At 49.9% G+C, this 24,833-nt stretch overlaps 1 protein-coding gene and 1 long non-coding RNA gene across 20 annotated transcripts in view, besides 4 other annotated features; one reads left to right on the top strand and one right to left on the bottom strand.

Moving 5' to 3' along the window:
* SYN3 (synapsin III) overlaps positions 1 to 24,833 on the top strand; it is a 550,562-nt gene that overhangs the window by 505,687 nt on the left and 20,042 nt on the right. For 15 of the 18 annotated variants that reach the window (NM_001369909.1, NM_001369907.1, NM_001135774.2 and 12 more), the window contains 5 exons: positions 10,982 to 11,124; positions 14,585 to 14,659; positions 18,800 to 18,902; positions 23,687 to 23,821; positions 24,690 to 24,777. In NM_001369909.1, coding sequence (NP_001356838.1) covers positions 10,982 to 11,124; positions 14,585 to 14,659; positions 18,800 to 18,902; positions 23,687 to 23,821; positions 24,690 to 24,777 — 544 coding nt within the window. The remainder of the gene's footprint in view (positions 1 to 10,981; positions 11,125 to 14,584; positions 14,660 to 18,799; positions 18,903 to 23,686; positions 23,822 to 24,689; positions 24,778 to 24,833) is intronic. The other 3 variants (XM_047441529.1, XM_047441528.1, XM_047441530.1) reach the window with 1 other exon arrangement.
* On the bottom strand, positions 1,621 to 20,844 carry LOC124905103 (uncharacterized). 2 transcript variants are annotated; one of them, XR_007068066.1, is made up of 3 exons: positions 19,807 to 20,844; positions 10,706 to 11,596; positions 1,621 to 6,579 (listed from the first exon to the last, which is right to left on the bottom strand). It is a non-coding gene; the product is annotated as an uncharacterized LOC124905103 (long non-coding RNA). The 2 variants fall into 2 exon arrangements; XR_007068067.1 differs by having other exon boundaries at positions 10,756 to 11,596.
* Positions 19,729 to 20,366: an enhancer, noted in NCBI's record as "NANOG-H3K27ac-H3K4me1 hESC enhancer chr22:32928316-32928952 (GRCh37/hg19 assembly coordinates)". NCBI's record gives its function as "activates a minimal SCP1, AML or CMV promoter by ChIP-STARR-seq in primed H9 embryonic stem cells {active_cell/tissue: H9 hESC(primed)}" and the evidence as "EXISTENCE:reporter gene assay evidence [ECO:0000049][PMID:30033119]".
* Positions 20,367 to 21,004: an enhancer, noted in NCBI's record as "NANOG-H3K27ac-H3K4me1 hESC enhancer chr22:32927678-32928315 (GRCh37/hg19 assembly coordinates)". NCBI's record gives its function as "activates a minimal SCP1, AML or CMV promoter by ChIP-STARR-seq in primed H9 embryonic stem cells {active_cell/tissue: H9 hESC(primed)}" and the evidence as "EXISTENCE:reporter gene assay evidence [ECO:0000049][PMID:30033119]".
* Positions 22,808 to 23,307: an enhancer, noted in NCBI's record as "H3K4me1 hESC enhancer chr22:32925375-32925874 (GRCh37/hg19 assembly coordinates)". NCBI's record gives its function as "activates a minimal SCP1, AML or CMV promoter by ChIP-STARR-seq in primed H9 embryonic stem cells {active_cell/tissue: H9 hESC(primed)}" and the evidence as "EXISTENCE:reporter gene assay evidence [ECO:0000049][PMID:30033119]".
* Positions 23,308 to 23,809: an enhancer, noted in NCBI's record as "H3K4me1 hESC enhancer chr22:32924873-32925374 (GRCh37/hg19 assembly coordinates)". NCBI's record gives its function as "activates a minimal SCP1, AML or CMV promoter by ChIP-STARR-seq in primed H9 embryonic stem cells {active_cell/tissue: H9 hESC(primed)}" and the evidence as "EXISTENCE:reporter gene assay evidence [ECO:0000049][PMID:30033119]".

Genomic DNA, 24,833 nt, shown 5'->3' with positions numbered 1-24,833 from the left:
GCTTTTTCCTCTTAGGGAGACTGAATCATGTTACTGATCAAAGTTTCTTTTCTTCAACAGACACACAAAAAAGGGGCCACATCTATATCCAGACATAACCACTGTTAACCCCAGTCTAAGTACAATTTTATGTCCTCATCTTTGTTTTTCTCCTTTAGTCCTGCTTGTTTTTAACCTAAAAGTTTCAAATATATACAAAAGAAGAGAAAATGGTAAACTGGAACCCCATGTACCTTTAGCCTCACACTAAAAAAAAAAAAAAAGAAAAAAAAAAGAAAAACCTTTGACCCAACTTCAACCATTATCCACTGATGCTCAATTATATTTTATGTACATCTCCAATCTTCCTCTCAAACACCTCTGGATACTTTTTTCAGATCTAATTCTCATGCTATAAAATTCACCCTTCTAAAGTGTTTTCAGTTTTTTGTTTTTTGTTTTTTGTTTTTGAGATGGAGTCTCACTCTGTCACCCGGGCTGGAGTGCAGTGGCGCGATCTTGCTCCACTGCAACCTCCGCCTCCCGGGTTCAAGCGATTCTTCCGCCTCAACCTCCCAAGTAGCTGGGATTACAGGCGCCCGCCACCACTCTCAGCTAATTTTTGTCTTTAGTAGAGGCAGGGTTTCACCCTGTTGGCCAGGCTGGTCTCAACTCTTAACCTCGTGATCCACCCACCTCGGCCTCCCAAAGTGCTGGGATTACAGACGTGAGCCACCGCACCTGGCCTTCAGTGTTTTTTAGAATATCTACAAGGTGGAAGCATCACCGCTGTATAATTGTAGCACATTTTCATTATCCCACATCAATTAGCAGTGACTACCCATTCCTCTCCCCCAAGTCCTTGGCAATTGCTCCTCTGCTTCCTGTCTCTGTAGATCACTGGAATATTTTAAAGCAAATCTCAGATATCAAGTCATTTCACCCATAAATATTTCAGTGAATATTTCTAACACACAAAAGCTTCTTTTTTTGTCTCTAATGTAGCCAAAGACCTAAAAACATAATAATAATTCTTTAATATCATCTAGTATATCATCAGTGTTCAATAGCCTCCTGTTAATTGATGTGTTCCATTGTATGCAGACAAGTCCTTCATATTCACATGGTTAGTATGACATAAGCCTCTTATGATCTATAACAGTTCAGTCTCCTCTGTTTTTTTTTTTTCCTTGTCATTTATTTGTTGGTGGGGGGAGGCCATTTTTCCTGTAGAATTTCCTACATGCTAATTTGGCCAATGGCAGCTCCATGTTGTTCCTCTATCACCTGCATTTCCTGTAAACTAGTAGTTAAATGCAGAGATTTTTATCTGAATCAGGTTCTGGATTCTGGCAAGAATACTTCCCTGGTGCAGGGTGGGGGTAGGGGCCATTATCTTGCATCACATCTGACTGGCAAGTCTCTCTGTTGAGATGTCAAGAGTGGTCCTTGAGCTCAGGTATCGTCTGCCTGATCCACACATTATCAAGTTTCCCATCAGCCTTTCCCCAGTGGCCTTGGCATTGATCAGCATTGCCTCAATCTGTTATTGCATTAGGGGCTGCAGAAGGATGATGTCCTAATTCTATTTCTTTTGCATTTAGTAGCTAGAAAACATCAAAGAGAATATTTCTTCATCACTGTTATTTACCCATTTATTTTGGAATAGTGAGATAGTGTCTTAGCACCCTCCAAACATGACCAATGATCTTTTTGTCATTGGTTATTAACAATTTGATGTATTTCAATCTATTGAAGTCACTATTCTTTCTGATACTCAAGTTATCCCATCTTTGGCTAATGGGAGCCCTTTTGAGTTGATTTATGTGTCTTCTTGACATGGTAGCTTTCCTTTTACTAGCATGATAAGATGTTTTGAACTCATCTTGTACATTTTCTGCCCAAACCTGGAATCAGTCATTTCCCCAAGGAGCCATGGAAGCCTTTCAATAACATAATGGGTTTTAGAGACCACAATCTGGGTGCTAAATATGTTTATTCTTATTTTTTTTTTTGCCATTTCTAGGCCTTTTTGGCAGACACAGGGAAAAATGCATATATGTTTTTAAGAGAAAAATACATCATAAATTCATCCTGATATTTTGAATTCAAATCTTAGATTACAACACTTATTTATTTTATTTTAAAATTGTATCTCTTTTCTCTTATATTTAAAAATCTTGGGTCCTAATAGCATTATTACTATTATCATGGTTTAAAATAGCAATACCATTATTATTACTAACAAGTTGAATAAAATTTTATATTTCTTAGCAGTTTTAAAAAATCTTTTGGATATTTTCTGCTAGGGATATATAGTTACTGTTGTGTTGAGCTTTTTTTTTTTTTTTAATGTGGTTAAACAAATTATAGAACATCTACCATGTGCCAATTACTGATCAGGCTGTTAAGAAATAAATTCTAGTGTGAAGGACAGTCAAATAAGTATATTATAATACTGTGGGTTATAAGTAATAGTAAGAATTTATTCATCTAAGAAATGGAATATCACAGAGATCCACGTGCTCAGCCTTCTGTTACAAAGTCACTTGAAATAATTCTTCTCTGTAAGTTTAAGCCACTAGCTTAATATATTGTTAGACTAACTTTATTTTGTTTTCTGTTTTCAGGAAATTCTTTCTCCAGTTGATTTATTTTGTTTTATAATTAATAACCATTTTTGCTTGATTCCAAAGCCAAAATTATAAAAACAAGATATATACAGTGAGGACTAGCCTCCATCCCCGTCACCTCCCGCTTCCCTTCCCTCTATAGGTAACATTCTCATTTGGTTTTGGTTCATTCCTTCATTGCATTTTTTTTTTTTGAGACAGAGTCTCGCTGTGCTGCCCAGGCTGGAGTACAACGGTGCAATCTCAGCTCACTGCAACCTCCACCTCCTGGGTTCAAGCAATTCTCTTCCCTCAGCCTTCCAAGTACAGGTGCACACAACCATGCCTGGCTAATTTTTGTATTTTTACTAGAGACTGAGTTTCACTATGCTGGCCAGGCTGGTCTCAAACTCCTGCCCTCAAGTGATCCACCCACTTTGGCCTCTCAAAATGCTGGGATTACAGGCGTGAGCCTGCGCACCCAGCCTGTATTTTTTTAATCAAATATGTGCATTGTCCACAAAAAAATTCTTGATAAAAGTTTGCATGTTGGCTGGTCATGGTGACTAATGTCTGTAATCCCAGCACTTTGGGAAGCCAAGGCCGGAGAATTGCTTGAGCCCAGCAGTTTAAGACCAGCCTGGGCAACATGGTGAGATCCTGTCACTATAAAAAATAAAAAATTAGCCAGATGTGGTGGCACATGCCTGTAGTCTCAGCTACTGGGGAGGCTGCGGCAGGAGGATTGCTTGAGCCCAGGAGGTTGAAGCTACAGTAAGCCATGATCATGCCACTGCATTCCAGCCTGGGTGACAGAGGGAGACTCTGTCTCAAACAAAAAAAAAAAGCTTGCATGTTATCCTCATTATTCTGCACCCTATTTTTTTCACGCCATAGCAGTATGTAGATCCTCCTCATTGCCTTCTCTTGACTGCAAAGCATTCGATTGTGTGCATGGAGCACCATGGATGCAGCTGTCCCCTGCTGAGGAGCATGTGGGTCAGCAGTCAATGCACCATCCCGGTGGCAGTCCGCCCTACATACCTTCTTATCCCAAATGCCTCCTCTGGCCAGAGGACCATCCCAACATCCCTCCAGCTCCATCCACAGCTCTAGGCCGCCCACCCCTGTCTTCAGGGTCTCATCTAACTTCATCCTGTCCTCAAGGCTTAAGGTGGAGCTATAAACCTCTGAGATCATAGAACATGGCCCAATTGTTGACAGAAAACTTTCTTTTACACGTAGTGCTGCAATAAACAGCCTTGCGTGCATACCATTTCATGTGTCTTCCATTATATCTTTAGGATGGATGTTTAATAGTGGAATTACTATCATCCGGCTTTTAATTACGTCTCATGTTGTATGTTATATATCTTTGAAATTTGCCATAAATTCTTTCTAGAACAGGTGGCATAAAAATATAAATATTTTAGGCCAGGCACGGTGGCTCACGCCTGTAATCCCAGCACTTTGGGAGGCCGAGGCGGGCGGATCACAAGATCAGGAGATTGAGACCATCCTGGCTAACATGGTGAAACCACGTCTCTACTAAAAATACAAAAAATTAGCCGGGCATGGTGGTGGGCGCCTGTAGTCCCAGCTACTCAGGAGGCTGAGGCAGGAGAATCGTTTGAACCCAGGAGGCAGAGGTTGCAGTGAGCTGAGATCGTGCCACTGCACTCCAGCCTGACGACAGAGCAAGATTCCGTCTCAAAAAAATAATAATAAATAATAAAATAAAATAACCTGAGGCTAGGCACCATGGCTCAGCCAGTAATCCCAGCACTTTGCCAGGCCAAGGTGGGCAGATGGCTTGAACTCAGGAGTTCAAGACCGTCCTGGCCAACATGGTGAAACCCCATGCAGGCTCGGAACAGCAAGTGCAAAGGCCCTGAGGCAGGAATATGCCAGGTGGATTCTGGATAGAGGGAGGGGACAGTCTTATCTGATCTCTGCTGGTGAAACCACACCTGGGGTCTGTTGTGTAATTCTGGGTATTATGTAGTTTAAGAGGTTGTCAAATGTGGGCGTTTCATGATGGTGAAGGGCCTGGAAGCAGCTCGTATTAGGAATGGGTTAAGGAAAGAATGACTTGTGCACACCTGGGTGGCTCTCTTCAAGTGGATGAAGTGCAGACACAAGGCAGAGGGCTAAGACTTACTCCATAGAATAACGAGGGCCATTCATTCATTCCTGGTGTGATATACACCAGAACAGGTTAGAGGTTTCCTAAAAGGGATTGAGCTGCCCTGCCTGATAGTAAGCTCCCTGCTATTGGAGATATTCAAGCAAATAGCAGACAGTCTACTAAGTATGTAGATGACTTTCCCATCCCGGGTTGGATTTTGTAATTTGGAACAGGAGACCTCTGAGCCAAAACCCATTCAGAAGATTTGGAATTGCATCCTGACTCCTCTCTCCACTTTCTCTGCCTCTGTTTCCACTCTCCCTCCTTGCTCAGCCTCAGGACAGAGCACACATGCATGCATGCACACTCACATACACACATGTGTGCACACAAGCACACAAGAGGGTAAAGCAATTCAGAAAGCAAGAGAGGAGAAGAGTGTGAGAACCTGAATGGGGAGACCATGAGGGGAAGGAGGCAGGAAAGACAGAGAGGAAGGAATGAAGAAGAAATGAGAAGGAGAAGAAGAATGGCAACATTGAAAAGAGGTCAGGAAAACTGAAGGAGACAGAGAAGGAGGTGGAAGGGAGAGGCTGGAGAAAGATAAGAGAAGAAGTAAGCAACAAGGAAAAATCAAGGAGGAAAGAGGTGCAAGAGGGAAACAGATGGCATTAAAAGCAAAAGGAAGAGTGGCCGGGCATGGTGACTCATGCCTGTAATCCCAGCACTTTGGGAGGCCAAGGTGGGAGGATCGCCTGAACCTACGTGTTCAAGACCAGCCTGGGCAACATGGGGAAATTTCATTTCTACAAAAAATACGACAAAGAAAAAACAGCCAGGCGTGATGTCATGCGCCGGTAGTCCCAGCCACTCAAGAGGCTAAGGTGGAGGATTGCTTGAACCTGGGAGGCAGAGGTTGCAGTGAGCCCTGACTGTGCCACTGCGCTCCAGCTTAGGCGACAGAGAGAGACTCTGTCTCAACATCAACAAAAAAACAAAACAGAGTAAGAGAGAAGGCAAGGAGTGTTAGAGGAAAGGGGAGAAAAGGGAGGGAGGAGAGAGTGAGAAGGCAAGGACGCAAGAGAAAGGAGAGAGAGAAGGAGAGAGGAGATAAGAGAAGGGAGAAGAGGGGCGAGGGAGGCAAGGGTGTGGGTGGGTCTGTTTTGGAGAGTTCACAGTGGCCCCATCATAGCCCCTGGGGCAGCAAATGGGTAATCTTGAATCACAGCTCATTGAGGGCTTCCTGTTTTCAGCTTGTCTTTGTGAACCCTTGGAGGGATTTCCAGCCAGTAAATAAAGCGGAGTGCCAAGACTCCCTGCCCAGGCTAGCAGCCATTTCACCATCCTCAGGGCTGTGTCCCCAGTGCCCTCTCACCCCAACTACCCTCTCTGGCCTGAGGACCATCCCAGAGTCCCCTCCAGCACCCACCCACCGAGGCTCCAGACCACCTCCCCTCTTCGCCAGAATCCTGGAATTCTTCCGGTTCTCAAGAACTTGTGAGGCAGGCAGTAACCCTCAGAGAGCGTAGCACCTACCCAAGAATGCATGGAAATATCCACCTTATAAAAGACAAGTTTCCTTGAAACAGTTTCTTTGCCTTTTTTTGGAACTCTCTTGTTTTTCCTTCTAGTTTCTTGCCCCCCTCCCAAATTATAAGCAGGTCTTGATCCAACCTTCTTAAATTCAATCCAGCAAACTTGTGTAGAGCATGTACAATCTGCTTGGCACCAGTGCAACAGCTGGGGACAACACTCGTCTGTCCTCAAGAAGCTCACAGTCTAATGGGGAGACAGAAATGGTGGTTCCAGGGGTAGAATCCGTTTTTTATTGCCCAGGTGTCATACAATGTGGGAGACCCTCTGTAAAGAAAAAGAACATAAAATCAGCTGGATGTGGTGACGCCTGTAGTCCCAACTACTCAAGTGGCAGAGGTGGGAGGAATGCTTGAGCCCAGAAGTTCAAGGCTGCAGTGAGTCATGATTGCACAACTGCACTCCAGCCTGGGTGACAGAGTGAGACCCTGTCTCTTTAAAAAAATAAATAAATAGAAATAGAAAATAAAATAAAAAGGAACATTTGGCCAGGGCCTCTCCTGAAGCTTTGAAATGCCTGTGTATAAGATACCCGGGCTCACGCCTGTAATCCCAACATTTTAGGAGGCTGAGGTGGGTGGATCACTTGAGGTCAGGAGTTCAAGACCAGCCTGGCCAATATGGTGAAACCACGTCTCTACTAAAAATACAAAAATTAGCCAGCCATGGTGGCACGCACCTGTAGTCCCAGCTACTTGAGAGGCTGAAGCAAGAGAATCGCTTGAATCCAGGAGGCAGAGGTTGTAGTGAGCCAAGATTGCACCATTGCACTCCAGCCTGGGCAACAGAGTAAGTGAGACTGTCTCAAAAAAAAAGAGAGAGAGAGAGAGAGACCTGGGTTCCATGCTCACTGTTGGTGACAACAGAATGGGACCCCAGTGCACAACCACTCAAACGAAGACAGAAGAGAAGGGTTCCCAGAGGGCGCCTGCCCACTCCTGCATTAAACCACTATGTCTGTGCTTTCTCCCTTTGCTCTCTTTGTCTACTCTGTGAAAGAATGCATGATGTATTCCACAAAAATTTACTTAGGGCTTGTATAATAATTGGGATAAATTTCAGCTGCCATAACAAAGACTTACAAAGGCATAAACAAACTAGGACTTTCTTTCTCTGCTCTGCACAAAAGCAGCCCAGGGCTGGCCTGGAACTACCATGGTTTCATGACCATGGACTTCTTCCATCTTACTGATCATCCATGCCTGGTGTGTTGCCCTCAGCTACACTGTCAAAGATGGTCCACACTCCAGCCAGCAAGGGGAGAGAAGCGAGGAGTACAAAGCCCTCCCCTGCCCTTTAACGGCACAGCCTGGAAGTTCATACACCTCTTCCGCTCACATCTTGTTGGCCAAAATGTGGCCACACAGCGGTATGAAGATGCCAGGGAGAGGAGAGAGTGTAAAGTGTACCCTGGATGGACACATGCCCCCCATATCAGGGTGCATCATGACTGTAAAGCAGGAAAATGATGCTGTGGACAGCTAGACACTTCCGAGGTAGCCCACTCTGTGCTCAGGGCTGTCTAGGAAACCAAGGTGCCAAAGAAATTCTGGTTCTTTCCAAGGCCACCAAGGACAGAAATGTGAGTTAAACAAGCCGTCCCTGCAAACGCTCACCCGATTCTTTCATTTTGGCAATTCCGATTCTCTCCACCTGACCCTGAATACTGGCTGAGATGAAACCCCAGGATAATCAAAGGGGCATTGGAAGAAGAGGTGGCAACATAGACTGTGAAGAAGTTGCCAGAAAGAAGGGTGAGAACTGGGAAAACAGTGGTACAGAAATCATATTTCCCAAAGTTCACTAATTTCAGGTGCTACAGAGGGTCAACGCAGGGCAAGGACCAGAGGCATTCTATGGGATTTGCCAAAGAGTGGACTAAAAGGGACCTTGGCCAAATCAGTCTCAGGAGAATGGTAGGGAGTAAAACCTAAAGAAAGTGGGTTGAGGGGCAAGTGGGGAATGAAGATGTAGAGATAGACAGTGGTGCGTAACTGAGGTTCTGAAAAGCAGGAACATGTTGAGGAGAATGGTGGATCCTTGATCACGTTAATCCAAAGAATAAAGAATCAATGAAAAGCAAGAGAGTAAAAATAATGAGCAGAAATGTCATTTGGCTGCTTTAACAAAGACCCACATAATAGGGGCCAGGCGCAGTGGCTCGAGTGTGTAATCCCAGCACTTTGGAAGGCCGAGGCGGAAAGATCGCTTGAACCAAGGAGTTTGAGACCAGCCTGGTCAACATAGTGAGGCCCTGTCTCTACAAATAATCAAAAACTAGCCGGGCATGGTGGTGCACGCCTGTAGTCCCGGCTACTCGGCCGGCTGAGGCAGGAGAATTGCTTGAGCTCAGGAAGTCAAGGCTGCAGTGAGCCATGATCATGCCACAGCACTCAGCTTGAGTAACATATTGAGACCCTGTCTCAGAAAGGGAGCTTCACAGTGCTAGTGACCCAGGTCCTTCCATCTTTCTACTCAGCCATCCTCAACATGCAGCTTCCATCTCATGGCCCAAGATGGAGGCTGCTGCTCATACCATCATGTTCACATTCCCTGCCAGAGCAAAGAAGGAAAAAGGACGGGGAAGATTATTTTCATCTTCAGGGCACCACCCAGAGGTTGCTAATATCACGGCTACCCAGGTTTCACCGGCCAGAGCTTGGAGACTCAGGCACATCTACCCGCACGACAGACTGGAGCAAAGTAATCTCTGGCTGAGGAGGCCAGGTACCCAGCTAAAACCAAGGGCTTAGAAGGCCCAGAACAAAGGAAGGAGGCACACCACCGCCACTGCAGCTGGGAGGAAGAAGTGGGGTAGCTGAGTTTGAAAAGGGCTGGAAAATAGGGAACTCTTGCCTGGTCACCTTTATTTTCTCTGCAAATTGAGACCTGGAGTCATCACTCAGAGAGCCAAGAAGAGAGATGGCTTTTCCAGCCTCTCTCCTGTTGCTGTTTAGGTCCGTTGTGGTAGAACAGGCAGGCACCTACTTACAGACCCCTGAGATGGTTCAAGGAAAAGCTGTGCCTTCGGAGTCCAGAGTTTCAAGCCTAGCTCTGGGCTCAGCTGCTTTATAACCTTGAGCAAGTCAAGAAATCTCAGTTTCCTTATCTGTTAAGTGACCACGACAGTGCCCAGCCTGCCTGCCTGCTCACAATCCTGTTTGGGCCCCACGGAGAGCTGTAAAGACTCTGCATAAGCATCAACGCTGGTGGAAATGTGAGTGGGCATTCTTGTGGGAGGGACAGAGTTGCCAAGGCAAAGCTGAGCCACAAAGGGCAGGCAGAAAAGGGCTGAGAGGAAGATCGGAAGGACGTGAGATGGGGTGTGGCCGAGACCAACCCCACGTGGACCGCCTAGTGCCCGGCCACTCCACAGGGCTCTGCCCGTCTCTGACCCAGCATCAGAACTCCTCTGCTGTCGGGGTGAGGGTGACAGGGAAGTGGGGAGCCGCTTCTGGACAAGCAGGGCTCCCGTGGCCAGTGGGAGGGAGCAGCTGGCCCAGCTGTCCACAGCCGCTGGGAGTCAGCCTCTGTTCTGTCTTAAGATCACTATCATAGAGCCTTGGCCTCGTCCTCTGCGCTTGGCCTTGGAAGCTCTCCTGGGACCTCTCCCCAAGCCCAGGACACCTCTCTGTGTTCCTGGCTCAGTCTAGTCAACAGTGTGAGTTTCTCTCCCAGCCTCTGGCCTAGCAAAGCTGGCCTCTCCAGTGTGTGCCTGTGTGCGCGCGCACACACACACACACACACACACATACACACAAACAGAAGCACTGCATACTATATACCACATGTACAACACACACCACACACAGCAAACACACCACACACATATCACACACTACACACACACACAGAAGCACCGCATACTACACACCACATGTACAACTCACAGCACACACAGCAAACTCACCACACACACATATATCACACACTATACACACACACATATGAATACACAAAGAACATACCACACATAGCATACAGCAAATATGCAAACACACCACACACAGACATCTCCCACAAACTCCACAACACTCACCAGCATGCATGCTCCCTACACATACACACCATGCACACATGCACGCTCCCTTCTTCCTAATGGCCCCTCTGTGTCTCATATCACACCCATCCATTCCATCCTCTACACAGCTGCTTCAGTGATTTTGCTAAAACGCAAACTACACCATTTCCTTATTTAAACTCCACTCCCTCTTCCAGTGGCTTTCCAGAAAATTCAGGCTAAAAATCCTAGCTCCTTCCCAGAGACTGTGGCCCTCCACAGTCTGTTCCCCCATGGCCCGTGCCGCATCCCCCATCAGCGAGTCTGTGCCACCTGCCCTTTCCCCCACTGTGGGTTCCTCGTGCATCTCTGGAGGATGGCCCCACTACCTACCTCATCCATCTGAAACATGTTCATCCTTCCAAACCCAGTTCAGAGCTCACCTCCTCTGTAAAGCTTTCTTGACCACCCAAGCAGAATCACTCCCTTCCTCTCTGCAGCTCGTGCGGTGTGTGGTGGAATGATTTGCTTCCCGTGTCTGTCTCCCCTGCCAGCAGGTGACCTTCTGAAGGGAATTCGTGTCTATAGACAGAGCACTTGTTCCTGGCATAGGGTGGGCTCAGTGAACACGGGGTGGGTGGCACTCATCCCCCTCATCCTCCCACACAGATCAAAGTGGAAAACCAGCTTGACTTCCAGGACATCACCAGCGTGGTCGCCATGGCCAAAACCTACGCCACCACCGAGGCCTTCATCGACTCCAAGTACGACATCCGCATCCAGAAAATTGGATCCAACTACAAGGCTTACATGTGAGTCTCTGGGGCAGGGGCTGGGGGAGTGTGGGAGGAAGGCAGCCCAGAGGTGCATGTCCAGCCGCTGTCTCCTGCACCCAAGGGTGCATCATTATCCTCCTTCCTGTCTCCTTACTGCCCTTCTTCTCTGTCCAGTGTGGCTGAGGGGCTGATGTCCAGTCACTGCTTATCCCTGGGCAGAGATCTGTCTACCCAAGCAAGGGCTGTTTCCTCCAGAGCAAGAAAGGTGCTTGGCATGTCTAGGGAACTGCACATACACACAGGATATATGTCTTTGAGAGAGAAATTTGGGGACAAATCAAGGAGGGCTTTGAATACCTTGCTGAGGGTTTTGGAGTATTTTTCTCTTCTCTTCTGAGCAAAGGGTCTGATCTGTGTTTATAAAAAGGTGACCATGAGGCTGGGAGGTGCAGAACGGTTTCTCTGAAGCCAATAAGACCAGTTAGGAGGTTACACCAGATTTCTCTGCCTGCAAGCAACAGAAACCACATCTCATTAACTTAATGGGTTTTTAAAGGGAATTTACTAGAAAACCATGGGTTATCAGAAACTTTAAAAAAGCAAACAAAAATATCTCCCAACTCAATTATCAATTTCAGAAACATTCAGATACAGAGTAGCCCCAGGAAGGTGGGCAGCCAGAAATAATAATAAACAATTTTCATGGCATCCCTACTGGTAAATGAATCTGCCCTAGTCATTTTCAAGGCTTAACTCAAGATTGTGATTCCGTGGAAAAAGTACTGATTAGTCCAACTTTGATCGCATTTTATTGATTAGAGAAAAGCAGAAAACTTTATAAGAAGGCATGCAGTGTGGGCAGAGCCATTGCCCAGTGGAAATAGAGGTGCTGAATCTAGAGGAAAAGGAAAGAATGCCAGGCAGAGAAAAGCAGCCCGCCTTCACCCTAGAGGTGGTTCAACAAAGCACGGATTACATGGGGCTGTGGTTATAAGGATGAATGGGGACTTCTGGAATAGGCAGACTGTCTCGTTCTTGGGAGAGGTCTTTGCTCCAAGCCCTCTCTATCTTTCACTCTGGAATGTTATTGTTAGTTCCACTTGAAATGATGAGACCCCAGAGGGCCAATCGTTGCCTGGTTGCCAAGCATTTATGGGGCACTGACTGTGTGCAGGGCTCCATATCTGAGGACTGCAAGGGTTAGCCCTGGACAGCTGGAAAGTCCCTCCATCCGCAGGCTTCTGTGTGGGTAGCTTGTGCTTTAAGCTAGGGTTGGCAAACCACAACCACAGGCCGAATCCAGCTGCCACCTGTCTCTAAATACAGTTCTGTTGATCACAGCCATGCACGCCCATTTATGGATTGCCTGTGGTTGCTTTAGCACTACCTGGATTGCCTAGACCAAGGGTCAGCAAACTTTTTCTGTAGAGGGCCAGGTGGTAATTTTAGGCTTGACGGGCTATATCGTCTCTGTTGCAACTACTGAGCCCTGTCATTGCTTGTGAAACTGGAGGAGGTGCAGGCAGTTGCCCTAGAAGGAAGTGTTCCCAGGAAAGGGATGGAGCTCATTCTTGAGGAGTAACTGCCCTATTCCACTAATCAACCTCTTCCTCCTGTGAGGCAAGCCAGACCTGCCACTGCTCTCAGATGGCCTCGGGGTGATAAAATCACCTCCTCCCTGCCCCCTCTGAGTTATGGCCCATTCCAGTGCGTTCCTGAGGCCCCTGCCTTCAGCCATGATATCATTTCCCTCCTCTCTTCATTGTTTGAGCTTCCACTTGACATTGACGACACCTTGTCCCAGTTTTTTTTTTTCTTGAGGATTACCTCATTGCAGCATTTTTCTGCTGAGCCTCCCTGGCCTGACAGCTCCACTTTGTCATTACTTACCGAGTTTCCTGGACCTTGGGCTGGCCCATCTCCAAAGGAGGGGGTTCATGTCAGACTTCAGTGTAGAATTTCCCCGGCCATTCAACCCCCTCTCTGGCCCACTCCTTGCCCTGCACTCGGGCCTTTGTGCTTGTCGCTACTGGGCTGTCATTCTTTCTAAGTCCTAGCAGACACAGTAAGGAAGTACATGTGTGTATCCTTACCCGTGTATACACATATATCCATAATTTTTTCTATATGTTCCCATCCACATCCCTATGAAGCTAAACAGAGTCCTATGGATGTCCCTGACTTTCATCTGGTACCACTTCGTTCATTTTAGCCTTTCCTGATTGCTAATCTATAACTTCCCACTCCAACAGAGAAAAATCCAGCTCCCCCATCCACCATCTATTCCACTTTTTTGGTTCCATCTCAGTGTATGTGCCCAGTCTCAGAATGGTTCACCTGTAGCTCCATGGGAAACAACCTTGCCAACTACGGTGCAGTGCCTTATGGCTCCTGGTGGTCATCTATTCTCAGCATTTTTACTTCAATTTTCTCTTACAATGATACATTTTTGTGTCAATTCCTCTCACCAGTTCACCCTTTGATCTCAATGACATAGCTTCCCTTGACCGTAAGACAAATAGCTTTACCTCCACCACTATGCTTAAACTCGTTCAGTCTTTGCCGAGGCCAGATGCATCATTAGTGATAGATAGCTTGTCTGGATTCTCCCCCAGTGTACACAGTTCCTCACCCAGTAGGTGCCTACTGGGCACCTACTACCTGCCGGATCCCACTGGATACTGGGTATACAGGGGATGAAGTTAAACATGTCCCCTACCGTCAGGATTCTCCTCCATCAGAGAAGAGAGGACACTAATGCAGTCATCAGAAGGGAGATGAGCATTACTGAGCATTAGTGTAGGGCGTAGTACCGGGCAGTCTATTTTTGCTGTGTAAAGGTGGGCTGTCAGGAAGTCGTATGTCAGATGAAACCTGAAGGATGAGCAGGACTTAGGGAGGCAAAGATGGAGACAAAGACTGTACGGAGTAAAGGGAAGAAGACCTGCAGAGGCCATGACATTGGGAAAGAGCCATGGGCAGTGGAGCACCGGAAGGGAGGTCGGTTGTTACTGGAGCAGAAAGGGCAAGGAAACAGAGAAGGATGGCAAGACAGTCAGAGACCAGAAGGCCTTCCTAATCTTCACCAGAGAAAAGTAGTCACTTCTCTCTAAGGATCACTTTTCTAACATTTTGGGGCCCTCAAAAGATTCCAGAATCACCAGGGGCTATACACACTGCCCTCATTCTCCTCAAAAACAGGCCAAAGTTTGGGGGATTTCATCAGATGATGTAGGCATTTTTTAATTTAATCTTTCAATTTCAAAGATGACTTAGAAAACAATACCTAGGATCCAACAAATAAAAAAGGCAAACAGCATGAAGGGAAATAAACATAGGAAAATATAGTTGAAGACAAGGTGTGTACGTAAGAATACATGCCATTACGTGAGCCAGTTATTTGAATCAGAGCCTCCTAACAGCCAAAGCAAAGAAGGAAAGCAGATCAGTGACGAGGGTCCCTAATTCCCTCAATGTGTTGTTTGTTCTGGTACAGGAGAACCTCCATCTCTGGGAACTGGAAGGCCAACACAGGCTCTGCCATGCTGGAGCAGGTGGCCATGACAGAGAGGTAAGAGACAAAGGAGGTGTAGGGAGAGGCACTGGCCATAGTAGGAGCTGAAGGGGGAATGCAACAAAAGGCCCTGAAGAGAAGGCCACTCCGCCCTCCGTCCAGTGCCTCACCATCCACAGAGCACTTTTTTAGACATGATCATCTTCACTGCCCACAGCAACCTACAGGGCAGGTATTAAAATAACCCCATTTTACAGATGGGAGAAGAAAACTCAGAGAGGGGAAGTGATTTGTCTAGGATCACAGAGCTAGTTGATGACAGAGCTGAGAGTAGAACCCTGATGTCATGACTCCAAGTCCGAGGTCTTTCCAGCCCTGACCAGCTGCTATAGGAAGAGGTCAGGAAGCCCTGGCCAGTCCCTCCTGTGCTCTGACAGCTGCAAGGAAGCATTATTAGGAGACCAGGCATATTGGAGAGTCCACTTCTCTCTCAAGCGTCCTTCCATCTCAATATGAATAGGGAAAGGTTGACGTCCCATGAATCATGCATGTTTTAGGGATGCTCTCTGGCTGAAGGGTTTTTCGGTCTTTCTCCCTTTAGACACTGTGTGCCAGCCCCACTTAAGGAAGTGCCGGCCGGGTGCGGTGGCTCACACCTGTAATCCCAGCATTTTGGGAGGCCGAGGCGGGCAGATCACCTGAGGCCAGGAGTTCAAGACCAGCCTGGCCAACATGGTGAAACCCCATCTCTACTACAGATACAAAATTAGCCAAGCATGGTGGTGGGTGCCTGTAATCCCAGCTACTCGGGAGGCTGAGGCAGGAGAATCACTTGAACCCAGGAGGCGGAGGTTGCGGTGAGCTGAGATCGTGCCATTGAACTCCAGCCTGGGCAAAAAGAGCAAAACTCTGTTTAAAAAAAAAAGGGGGGGAAGGGTCGAAGGGCCAAGTCAGCTGGTCTCAGGGCCTGCCACATACATACCTTCTTGCCTGCATGCCCTGTGACCTCTGCTAGCAGCCACACAATAGCAATGGACAGAGCATGGGCTGTGAACTCAAAAAGCTCTGTTCAGTAAACACCTATTGAGTACCTACTGCAGGCCATGTTGTGCTGAGCGCTAAAGGATGAAAAAATCCAATCCTTCCCTCTAAGAACTCTGTATCGGTTGCAAGGGCTACCACACAAACCAAATTGGTTTGCGCAGAAAGGGGGATTTACTGGCTCATGTCACTGACGACTCCAGATATACAGTGTCAGGTAAGGCCTTAAGGCTCCTCCTCTGCCCACCCAAGTTCAGCTTCTTTGTGTGTTGGCTTCATCCAGGCAGGCTCTTTCATTTCATGGTGGCACACAGTGGCTCCAGGCTTTCATCCTCACAGTGTCAGGTTCAAAAGAAGGAAAACTTCTGTTTCCCAGTCATTTCAACCAAAGCCTAGAACTGAGCCATATGTACTGGTTGGCCTGGCTTAGGTCACATGACCATCCCTGAACCAATCACTATGGCCCAAGACACTGCAACGCTGTGATTGGAGGCCTATGTCAGGTCTGCACCCCTGGAGACTGGAGTGGGAGCATCCCCTACAGCAACAAAGACTGAGTGTGACCTTAGGCATGCTCATGCTTTCTGAGCTTCTTCAACTGCAAAACGAAAGCAGTAGTAATACCCAAGTCAGAGTGCAGGTGTGAGGACTGAATGAGAGAGGGCTGCACCTAATCCAGAACCAGCCCCTGGCAGGGAGGAACACCTGTCCTTCCCATCAACCCCAGGGGGCAGCTGCCACCTTCAACCTGGGAACCCACCTGTGCTAATGAGTCTCTTGGAGGCTGCGCTCATGACCTGGCACGACTGAATCATGTGGCTGAGGCAGTCACCTCCTTCCCCCAACAGGTGTTCACGGGACAGTCGTGGCCATCTTCTCTATGGCCCTTCCGGAATGTGAGCCCAGCCTTCCCCAGTGCCTCCTGAGCCACTCACAGATGTCCCCAGCAGGCCACCTATCCCTGGCTCTGCCAAGTCCCAGGCTGCATGGGCCATCCCTGGAGGAACCTAACGTGGGAGTGGGCCTGCCCAGGCCTGGAATCCACTTTCCCTTTTCCAATCACAGGCAGAACTCCAGGGTCTGGGCTGGAGAGATCCCCAGTCCTATCCCCACAGGAGCAAAATCCATACAGGGACTCATACACAGGGCCTGACCCCGCCCTCCACTGGCTCGCCTGCTTGCCAGGTGGCCTGACTCCTGGGCAAAACCAATGATGTCGCTTGGTCAGTGCTAGTCCCACCTGGCAGGAGGGGAGCAGGGCCCCCCCCCCGATTCTCCAAGCACTCTCACGCTGCTGTACGCCTGCAGCCCCTTCCTAGACCCTGGGATGCCTGTGCCCTATGGGGCGTAGCCAGCAGGGGACCCCAAGGTTCATCCTTTCAAAACAGCCTCTGGAAACAGCTGCCTCTGGACCTCAGCTCAAATTTCCACGTTCCATTGAGAAGAAACCTGATTTATGAGTGTGTCTCAGGGCAGAGCTCACCCTGTGTGTGGCACCCACAAGTCAGCCACTGGGGCCAAAAACGAGGACCCTGATCAGAGAGCCCAGAGGATTCTTCGAGCTCCAAGGACCCAAGGTTGTCCCCAAACGTGGCCACGTATCAGAATCACATGAAAAGCTTTAAAAAATTATAGAAATTACTCTAACATAGGGTGGAGCCCCAAGTCTGGCTGTTTGTGCGTTTAACTCTCCTGGTGATTCTGATGTACAACCAGAATCAGATCTAGGCTTTCCCATTTTATGATAAGAGGGAGAGGCTTTTCCAAAATTATTAAGGAATTAATAGCAAGAATGTAGGTCCCTGGTCTCCCATGCTGAGTGAGAATGGATGGGCTGGGGCACCTTCAGAATGAGAGGAAGGGTGGCTTGCTTGGAAGCTGGAATCAGACAGGATCTGGATTTGGAAGCGGTACAGTCACTTAATCATCGCTCTGAGCCTGTTCCTCCATCAGTAAGATGGGTTAAAACCTTCCTCATAGAGTTGTGCTGGGATTCGAGGGAATGAGGAGTCAGCCCCCGGGCCCAGAATGCCTGGAACATACCAGGAGCTCCATGGGTGTGAGTCTCCATCCTTCTTTTTATTTGATGATCTCACATGCTCCGTGCTACAGCTGAATGAGAAAACTGGACTGGGAGTCAAGGAGATCGAGGGAATCCTGGTGTTCTTACACCTTACTGTGTGATCTGGACCAGCCACCCTCCCTCTCTGGGCCTCAGTAGGCTTTGGTGGATGAGATGAGACTCCATTCTAAGAGCATTCCAGTCACAGTCCCTCCTCATCCCAGCACTTGTGGCTCAGAGACGCAAAGCGATGTGAGAGTAGGCGTGCCCCGTGTGACCCTGGAGAGTGAGAAGCAAGAACATTGACACAGAGTCCCCTGTGACTCCCAAATCCAGCCCACAGGGGAAGCTAAGTGCAAAGCTGGAACAGTTTCTTCACATACAACCACCCCCTTGTTGCAGGGTCAGAGTCCAGTGCTGAGATCTGTCCCCAGCAAAGCAAACTGGCCTTGCAGACATCAAGTGGCTGGAAAGGGAACAAAAGCAGTGGGTCTAGAGGGCCAGGCCCCCTGGGCGAGGCAGAAGCAGCCTGCCAGTCTCCCCAGCCCACCCGCCCCGGGCCCTGGGAAAAATGCACCCTTTGTCCTCCACAGCCTCTTGTCCGGCCAGGGCTGGGACTGGAAGGGCAGCCTGGAGGGACTTCTGGAGCCCTTGGAGCAGCTTTCCCAAGGGAAAAGGGACACAGGGGTGGCTGGGTGTCCAGGATGACTCCGGATGGGGACAGGGCAAGCTCCCCATTACTGCAGAGCCAGCAAGTCCTGGGGTCGGGGGAGACCTCTCCCAACTCTGGTTCCTTCTCTCCCTGCCTCTCTCCCCTCCTTCCTGGCTCTCTCGTGTTCTTTCTCTGGGTCTCTCTCTCACTGTCATGTGTGTCCCTGCCTCTCTCCCTGCCTCTCTGTCTCTGCGTGTTGGACTCCAACTCTCTCTCCGTCTTTCTGTCTCTCTTGCTGCTTCTCTGTCTCTCTCCATCGCCGTCTGGATGTGTGAGTCACTGTCCCTCCCTGCCTGTTTTTCCATGTGAATCCACTTCTCTCCCTCTACCCGCTTCCCCACTTTCCCAGGCCACTTCACTGTCTGTCCATCTGTCCCTGCAGGTACAGGCTGTGGGTGGACAGCTGCTCGGAAATGTTTGGCGGCCTGGACATCTGTGCCGTCAAGGCTGTCCACAGCAAGGATGGCAGAGATTACATCATCGAGGTGAGGGATGAAGCAGGGAGTCCTCCTGGCTGGTCCAGCCTGGCAGGCGTGCCAGGGGGAGGGAATCCCTGCATGGTCTTTGGCACCATCAGCTGTGTCCTGGCTCCAGGGCACACGCAACCCAGGCCTCAGTGAGTTGCTTCTGGAGGCTCCTTCCCACCCTCAGAGGCATCGAAAGGCTTCATGCCTGGGGACTTGGAACTGAGTCGGGAGACCTCAGGGCCCGAGGTTGAACAACATCCCCAACCCACAGGCCTAAGGGAAGGAAAGGGCATCTGGTCAAGGGTCAACAAGATACTGTCCCATGGGGCCCCTTCCATTTCCCCAGTGTCCAAGCATGTGAAATGGGCACCTTCCTTGGTCACCATGCAGACAGTCCATCATTTGTTCATTCAACAAACATGGCCTTAGGGGGCTCCCATGGGCTAAGCATGGGTGTGGCTCTGGGGATACAGCCGTGGACATAATAGACATGGGGTGTGCAGGCTGGCAGGGGAGAGGGTGAGAAACAGTGGCAGAGCATTGAGGATTTGGAAGGGGGATGGAATGGTACAGGGGCATGAATAGAGGGAAAGATGTAGGGAAACAGAATGGTAACAGAGGGCTCACAGAGGGGCTGTGGGTCCCGGAATCTCTCTCAAGACCCTCCAGCAGCCCATGCCTCTCCCAATCCTATAGTCCTCCCATCCCCGCCGCTTCCTCTCTCTGTTTCCCCGTATCCCACTAACCCCCACCTCTCCTCCATGTCTTCCCAGTGTCTCTCACGGTCCCACAGCCCTCCCGTCCCCTCCCCAACTCTTCTTCCCTGCCCCCCCACTCCATGTCCCATGGCTCTCCACTGCTTTCCCCTGAAAAGGCCCCTCTGGCCTCAGAGTCCGCCATAACTTCCCATCTCCACACTCACAGCTCCAGTGCCGCGTCCAGCCCCCTCCTTCCATGGGCGGTGCTGACACAAGGCCAGGACACGTGAGGGAGAGCCCTGCGGCCGTCCCCTCCCCGGGGTGTGGGCGGCTAATGGGAAGCACATGGCTGGGGTGACCACAGGAGCCAGCCGGTCCTCCCGTCTCTCATGTCTGCCTCGCTCCCCAGGGGCCCACGGCCAAGCAGGACCAGGTGACTCAGTGGGTGGGAGCCCAGTCATGCCAGGAGGGTGTTCACACCCAGGCCTTGGAGGTAGGAGGAGGGAGTCCAGGATGAACACAGCCCCTCTCTCCTCCCCAGAGAGGCCAGGAAGCTCCTGCAGGAAGAGCTGCATCTGCATTAGCAGACCTAGTCCCACTCTGGAGAACAGCTCTCCTCTCAAGGCCCGGAAACGCCTTCCCTCTGGCCGCCACCACACCTGAAGTTCCCCAAGTAGCCCCTACTTGGAGGAGCCATGGAAGGGGCTGGGAACAGACTCCTTGACCTGTACAGTTGCTCCCTGGAGGAGCCGGTCCCTCGCCTTCTGGGAGCTTCAGCCCAGAGGTGGGGCAGGAACCCCCAGCACGGCAGCTCCTGAGACCCCACCAGGTCCTCCTGCCTCTGCATCCCCTCACGGGGACCACCAGACATGAACCCAGATTTGGCACACACGCACTCATTTGTTTATTCACTGAGCCGCTGCTCCAGGAGCCAGCCCCCAAGCCAGGTGGACACAGTACAACTGCAAACACAAGAGCAGGGGCCCTGTCTCCTAGAGCTCCCGGACTGCCCTGACCCCCAAAGGCCAGCTCCTCCCTTGCACCAGCAGTCTCTCTGTCCCCTGTGAGCCCCTACCTCTCCGGGTCTCAGCTTTCAGTCTTAGGGAAAAAAAAAAAAATCTGTGTTCATGGGCTCAGGCTTCCTGCCTTTAGCCATTCAGAGGGTTGGGGATGAAAGACCTTTCACATTAAAAAAAAAAAAAAAAAAGTAAAAGTAGTGGGCTCGGACTTCAAAAAATAAGAAAACAACGTCTCCCAAGAATGTTCCAGGGGAAAAATGAAAGATAGCTTTTCAGATTTTTTTTTTCCTCGCAGAAACATTGCAGAGTTGTTTCCTTTGCTTTTGAGTTTGGAGTGGGGTCAGGGGAGATGGGAAGCTTGTTACCAGAAATATAAAAGGTATTTTCCCCCAGTAAGGGAAAAAAAAAAAGGCAGAAGAGATCCCAAAACACTGGTTTCTTCAGCCATCTCTGTGGTGAGAACTGAAAATGTGTGTGAAATGTTTTGTGAAGAGGCTCACAGTGAAATACTCAGGGGAAAAGACCCTTGAACTTGTCCTCTCTGACCTTGTCCGGGGAATGACATTGCTCACTGGAAAAATGTTTCCCTGGGGAGACGAGGGTGGCCACTTCCTTTGGCTGTCTCTACCGTGGGGATTCCAAAATGAACCTCAGGTTCCTTGCGGTGGCTGTTTTCCACTGCAGGGAATGTAGGAAACAGAGACCAGAATAAAATGGGGTTGGCAGGGGCAGGGGGAGAGAGGACAGGCAGGGTGCAGCAAGCCTGTGTACCTTCGCGGCAGACTCCACAGTCAGAGCTCAGCCAGTGGTGACTGAGAGACTGTCCCTGTCTGGGGCGCTGGGATCCAGGAGGCCTCAGTCCCAGGTACGACCTGCGCAGAGCTCAGGACCCTGCTAGAAGCAGTACTCACATTCTTTTTTTTTTTTTTTTTTTTTTTTTTTTTTGAGACGGGGTCTCATTCTGTCGCCAGGGGAAAGAGGGAAGAGGAAAGGCCTGTTTTCCGGGGCCCTGGCAAAACCCAGGCGGGAGGGAAACGCGTTCCACAGGGAGCTGGGCTATTCTCAAAGTGCTTCTATGGGGAGGAGCCTGAGGGATCCTAGTTTCCCCTTCTGCTCTTCTTACAAATAGAGCAACTTGGCTCACTGCAACCTCCGACACTCCCAGGTTCAAGCGATTCTCCTGCCTCAGCCTCCCGAGTAGCTGGGATTACAGGCACCTGCCACCACGCCCGGCTAATTTTTTTTGTATTTTTAGTAGAGACGGGGTTTCACCGTGTTGGCCAGGATGGTCTCAATCTCCTGACCTCGTGATCCGCCCGCCCCGGCCTCCCAAAGTGCTGGGATTACAGGCGTGAGCCACCGCGCCCAGCCAGTATTCACATTCTTAAGCTAGCTTTTCAGTTTCCTAATCAAAGTGGGTGCTTAAACTCACAGATCCCTACAAGTCCCAGCTGGAAGGGTCTTAGCAGCTGCCCAGATCCCTCAGTTCACTGTTGAGAAAAAAAAAAAAAAAAATAGGCCCGTAGAGGAAAAGAAACTTGCCCAAGATCACAGAGCAAATACACAGCAGAAGCCAAGCCTGGAACCCAGGTTCCCTCTTCTCAGTTCCTACCCTGGTGTGCTGTTCCAGTGCTTGGTGGGAATTAGCCTGATGCAGTGGGAGGACCGTGGGTTGCCAGTGCTGTGTCCTTGACCTTGCCACTTCTTTGACCCTCTGCTTCCTCTTGATTACAATGAGGATAATAGTACTGCCTCAAAGAGCTATTCTGAGGTTTATGAGAGATCCTCCACACCCAATGCTTAGAATAGAGCGTAGCACGTAGGAAATGCCCCATAAAATACGGCGCTTCTTAGTATCCTTATCCTTATGAGCCGGGCTTATCACAAGGGCGTCTTATTCCTCCACTAAACAGGTGTCTGTGGAGGGCACACCTGCTTAGCAGGACACGGGGCCCATTCCTAACCTTGGGGGCTCCCAGTCTGGTGGTGGAGACATAGTAAGCAAGGGGTGACAGTGCCGTGGATAAGCTGTCCCGTGTGAAACCAGGTGAGAACGGCAGGATACAGTTGTCAGGTGGCTCGTCAGAGCTTGCACTATCAGAGAGGGCTTCCTGGAGGAAGACCTAGTTAGCTGTTCCCTGTTGGATGAAAGGAGTTGGCCAGGTAAGGAGTGGGTAGAGGGATTACATAAGAACCTGGAGGAGAGAGAAAACCTAATATGTCCAGAGCGTGGGAACAGGGGAGACAAGACGGTGAGTCTGATGGGGTGGCGTGGGTGAATGCAGGCCGCCGACTCCTGCAGTGGAGCAGAGAGGGTGACGCGGCCAGCTGTTCCGCAGATGCGCCAAGGCCTGACAGACACCCCTTCCAGATCTCCCATAGCTTCCCATGCCCAGGGAATCACGTGGAGCATTGGCCTGTGTGACCTTGGGCAAGTCCCCTCCCATCTCTGGGCCTCAGTTGCTCTATTTGTAAAAACAGCAGAAGGGGAAACTCGGATCCCTCAGGTTCCTCCCGATAGAAGCACTTTGAGAACAGCCCAGCTCCCTGTGGAATGCTTTTCCCTCCCGCCTGTGTTTTGCCAGGGCCTCGGAAAACAGGCCTTTCCTCTTCCCTCTTTCCTCTGAACCCTGGGTCAACTCCAGCCCGCGTCATATTTTTGTCATGATCAAGCCCCCACCTTTACTGTTTCTGCTTTGTGGAAAGCAGCCTTGACCTGGGGCCAAAGGAGAGGTGGCCAGCCCCGACCCTGGGAGGGGGCCAGGGTGAGAAAGGAGGGGGCGGAGAGCGGCTCCCCAAAGAAAAGCACAGAAAAGGTCGGCAGAGGCTCCCTGGCCCTTGTCGCATTGCTGTCATCCAGCAAACGTGGGCCGAATTGAACTACCTCCAGGGAGTGGTTTAGACTGAACCGAAGGGAACTGATGTCGCTGCCGGCCAGTCCCAGCTGGAGGTGATTTGCATGGAGGACATCGCCATCTGGTGGTCACTTCTGTCCTGAGCCCTGAGCCCCCACTTCTGGGATGTGATGCCCAACCGCCATCTCTCCTGGCATGGGGGTCCCTCAGCTCTCCCTTCCTCCCCACAGGTAATGGACAGCTCAATGCCGCTGATTGGAGAGCATGTGGAAGAGGACAGACAGCTGATGGCCGACCTTGTTGTCTCCAAAATGAGCCAGCTCCCGATGCCAGGAGGCACAGCGCCCTCCCCCCTCAGACCTTGGGTAAGACCCTCACGATCAAAGGAGACTTTATAGCCATGAGAAATGCCAGGCTGTCTGGAAATGGGGAGCCCCTGGATCCAAAGGGGATACCCCCAGGAAGAAACCACCTTGGGGAGAAGGAATGGGGGTGTGGACGAAGGCCAGACATTGGGGAGAGCTTTCACAGCCTGCCCCAGTAAGTGAATTGAGGAGGCTTTCAGAGGCCCCTTCCCTTCTTCACCATCCTGGGGAGAACAATCTTGTCTCAAATGGCCTTTGGGCACTGTGGGCAGAGATGATCGACTGCTGTCCCTTCTGTGCCCTCGGTGCTGGGCCTGAGCAGGATGTGTGTGCGTGCGTGTGCGAGAGCATATGGACACACAAGCCCTCTGTGTGCTCCCAGGGAACCAGTCAATGGACGCTATTGTGTCTCCCATTTTCCCCAACCTCGATGAGCTCCCACGTCGCTCCTCCCCTCCACAGTTCCCACCATGGATTACCAGACTGCTCTCCAAAGAATTTGCCAGCTCCCCAGCTTTATGTAAAAGCAAGTCCCCAAACTTCCACCTCCCACCCCAGATTTCCCCACAGAAAGTAATCTATGATAACAAACATCAGAATCGTAGTTATTATACTGACGGGGCTGCTGGCTGGGAAGGGGCACGGGGCAGGCTTTATCGCAGAGAATGCCCTCTGTTTTGATCTGGGCAGTGGTTACACCGACGTATACACATATAGAACTTCACTACACTGTATACTCCAGAACTGTACACTTTATGTGTAAGAGTCTCTTCTCAATGATAAAAAGATCTTCATAAATGCTGCCCTCTCACCCAGGAAGTAAAGGGCTGTGGTGATACCAACAGGCTTCTTTTCTCTTCTGCTCTAGGCTCCACAGATTAAATCAGCGAAATCCCCAGGGCAAGCCCAGCTGGGGCCTCAGCTAGGCCAGCCCCAGCCACGCCCACCTCCGCAAGGTATGACCCAGGACGAGCCACTGCAAGAAAGCATGCAGTGAGGGTGCTGAAATGCA

The sequence above is a fragment of the Homo sapiens genome, chromosome 22 (genome assembly GCF_000001405.40).
Source record: "Homo sapiens chromosome 22, GRCh38.p14 Primary Assembly".
Lineage (NCBI taxonomy): Eukaryota > Metazoa > Chordata > Mammalia > Primates > Hominidae > Homo > Homo sapiens.
The sequence above is the reverse complement of the archived record's forward strand: the minus strand, read 5'-3'. Positions and strand labels throughout refer to the sequence as shown.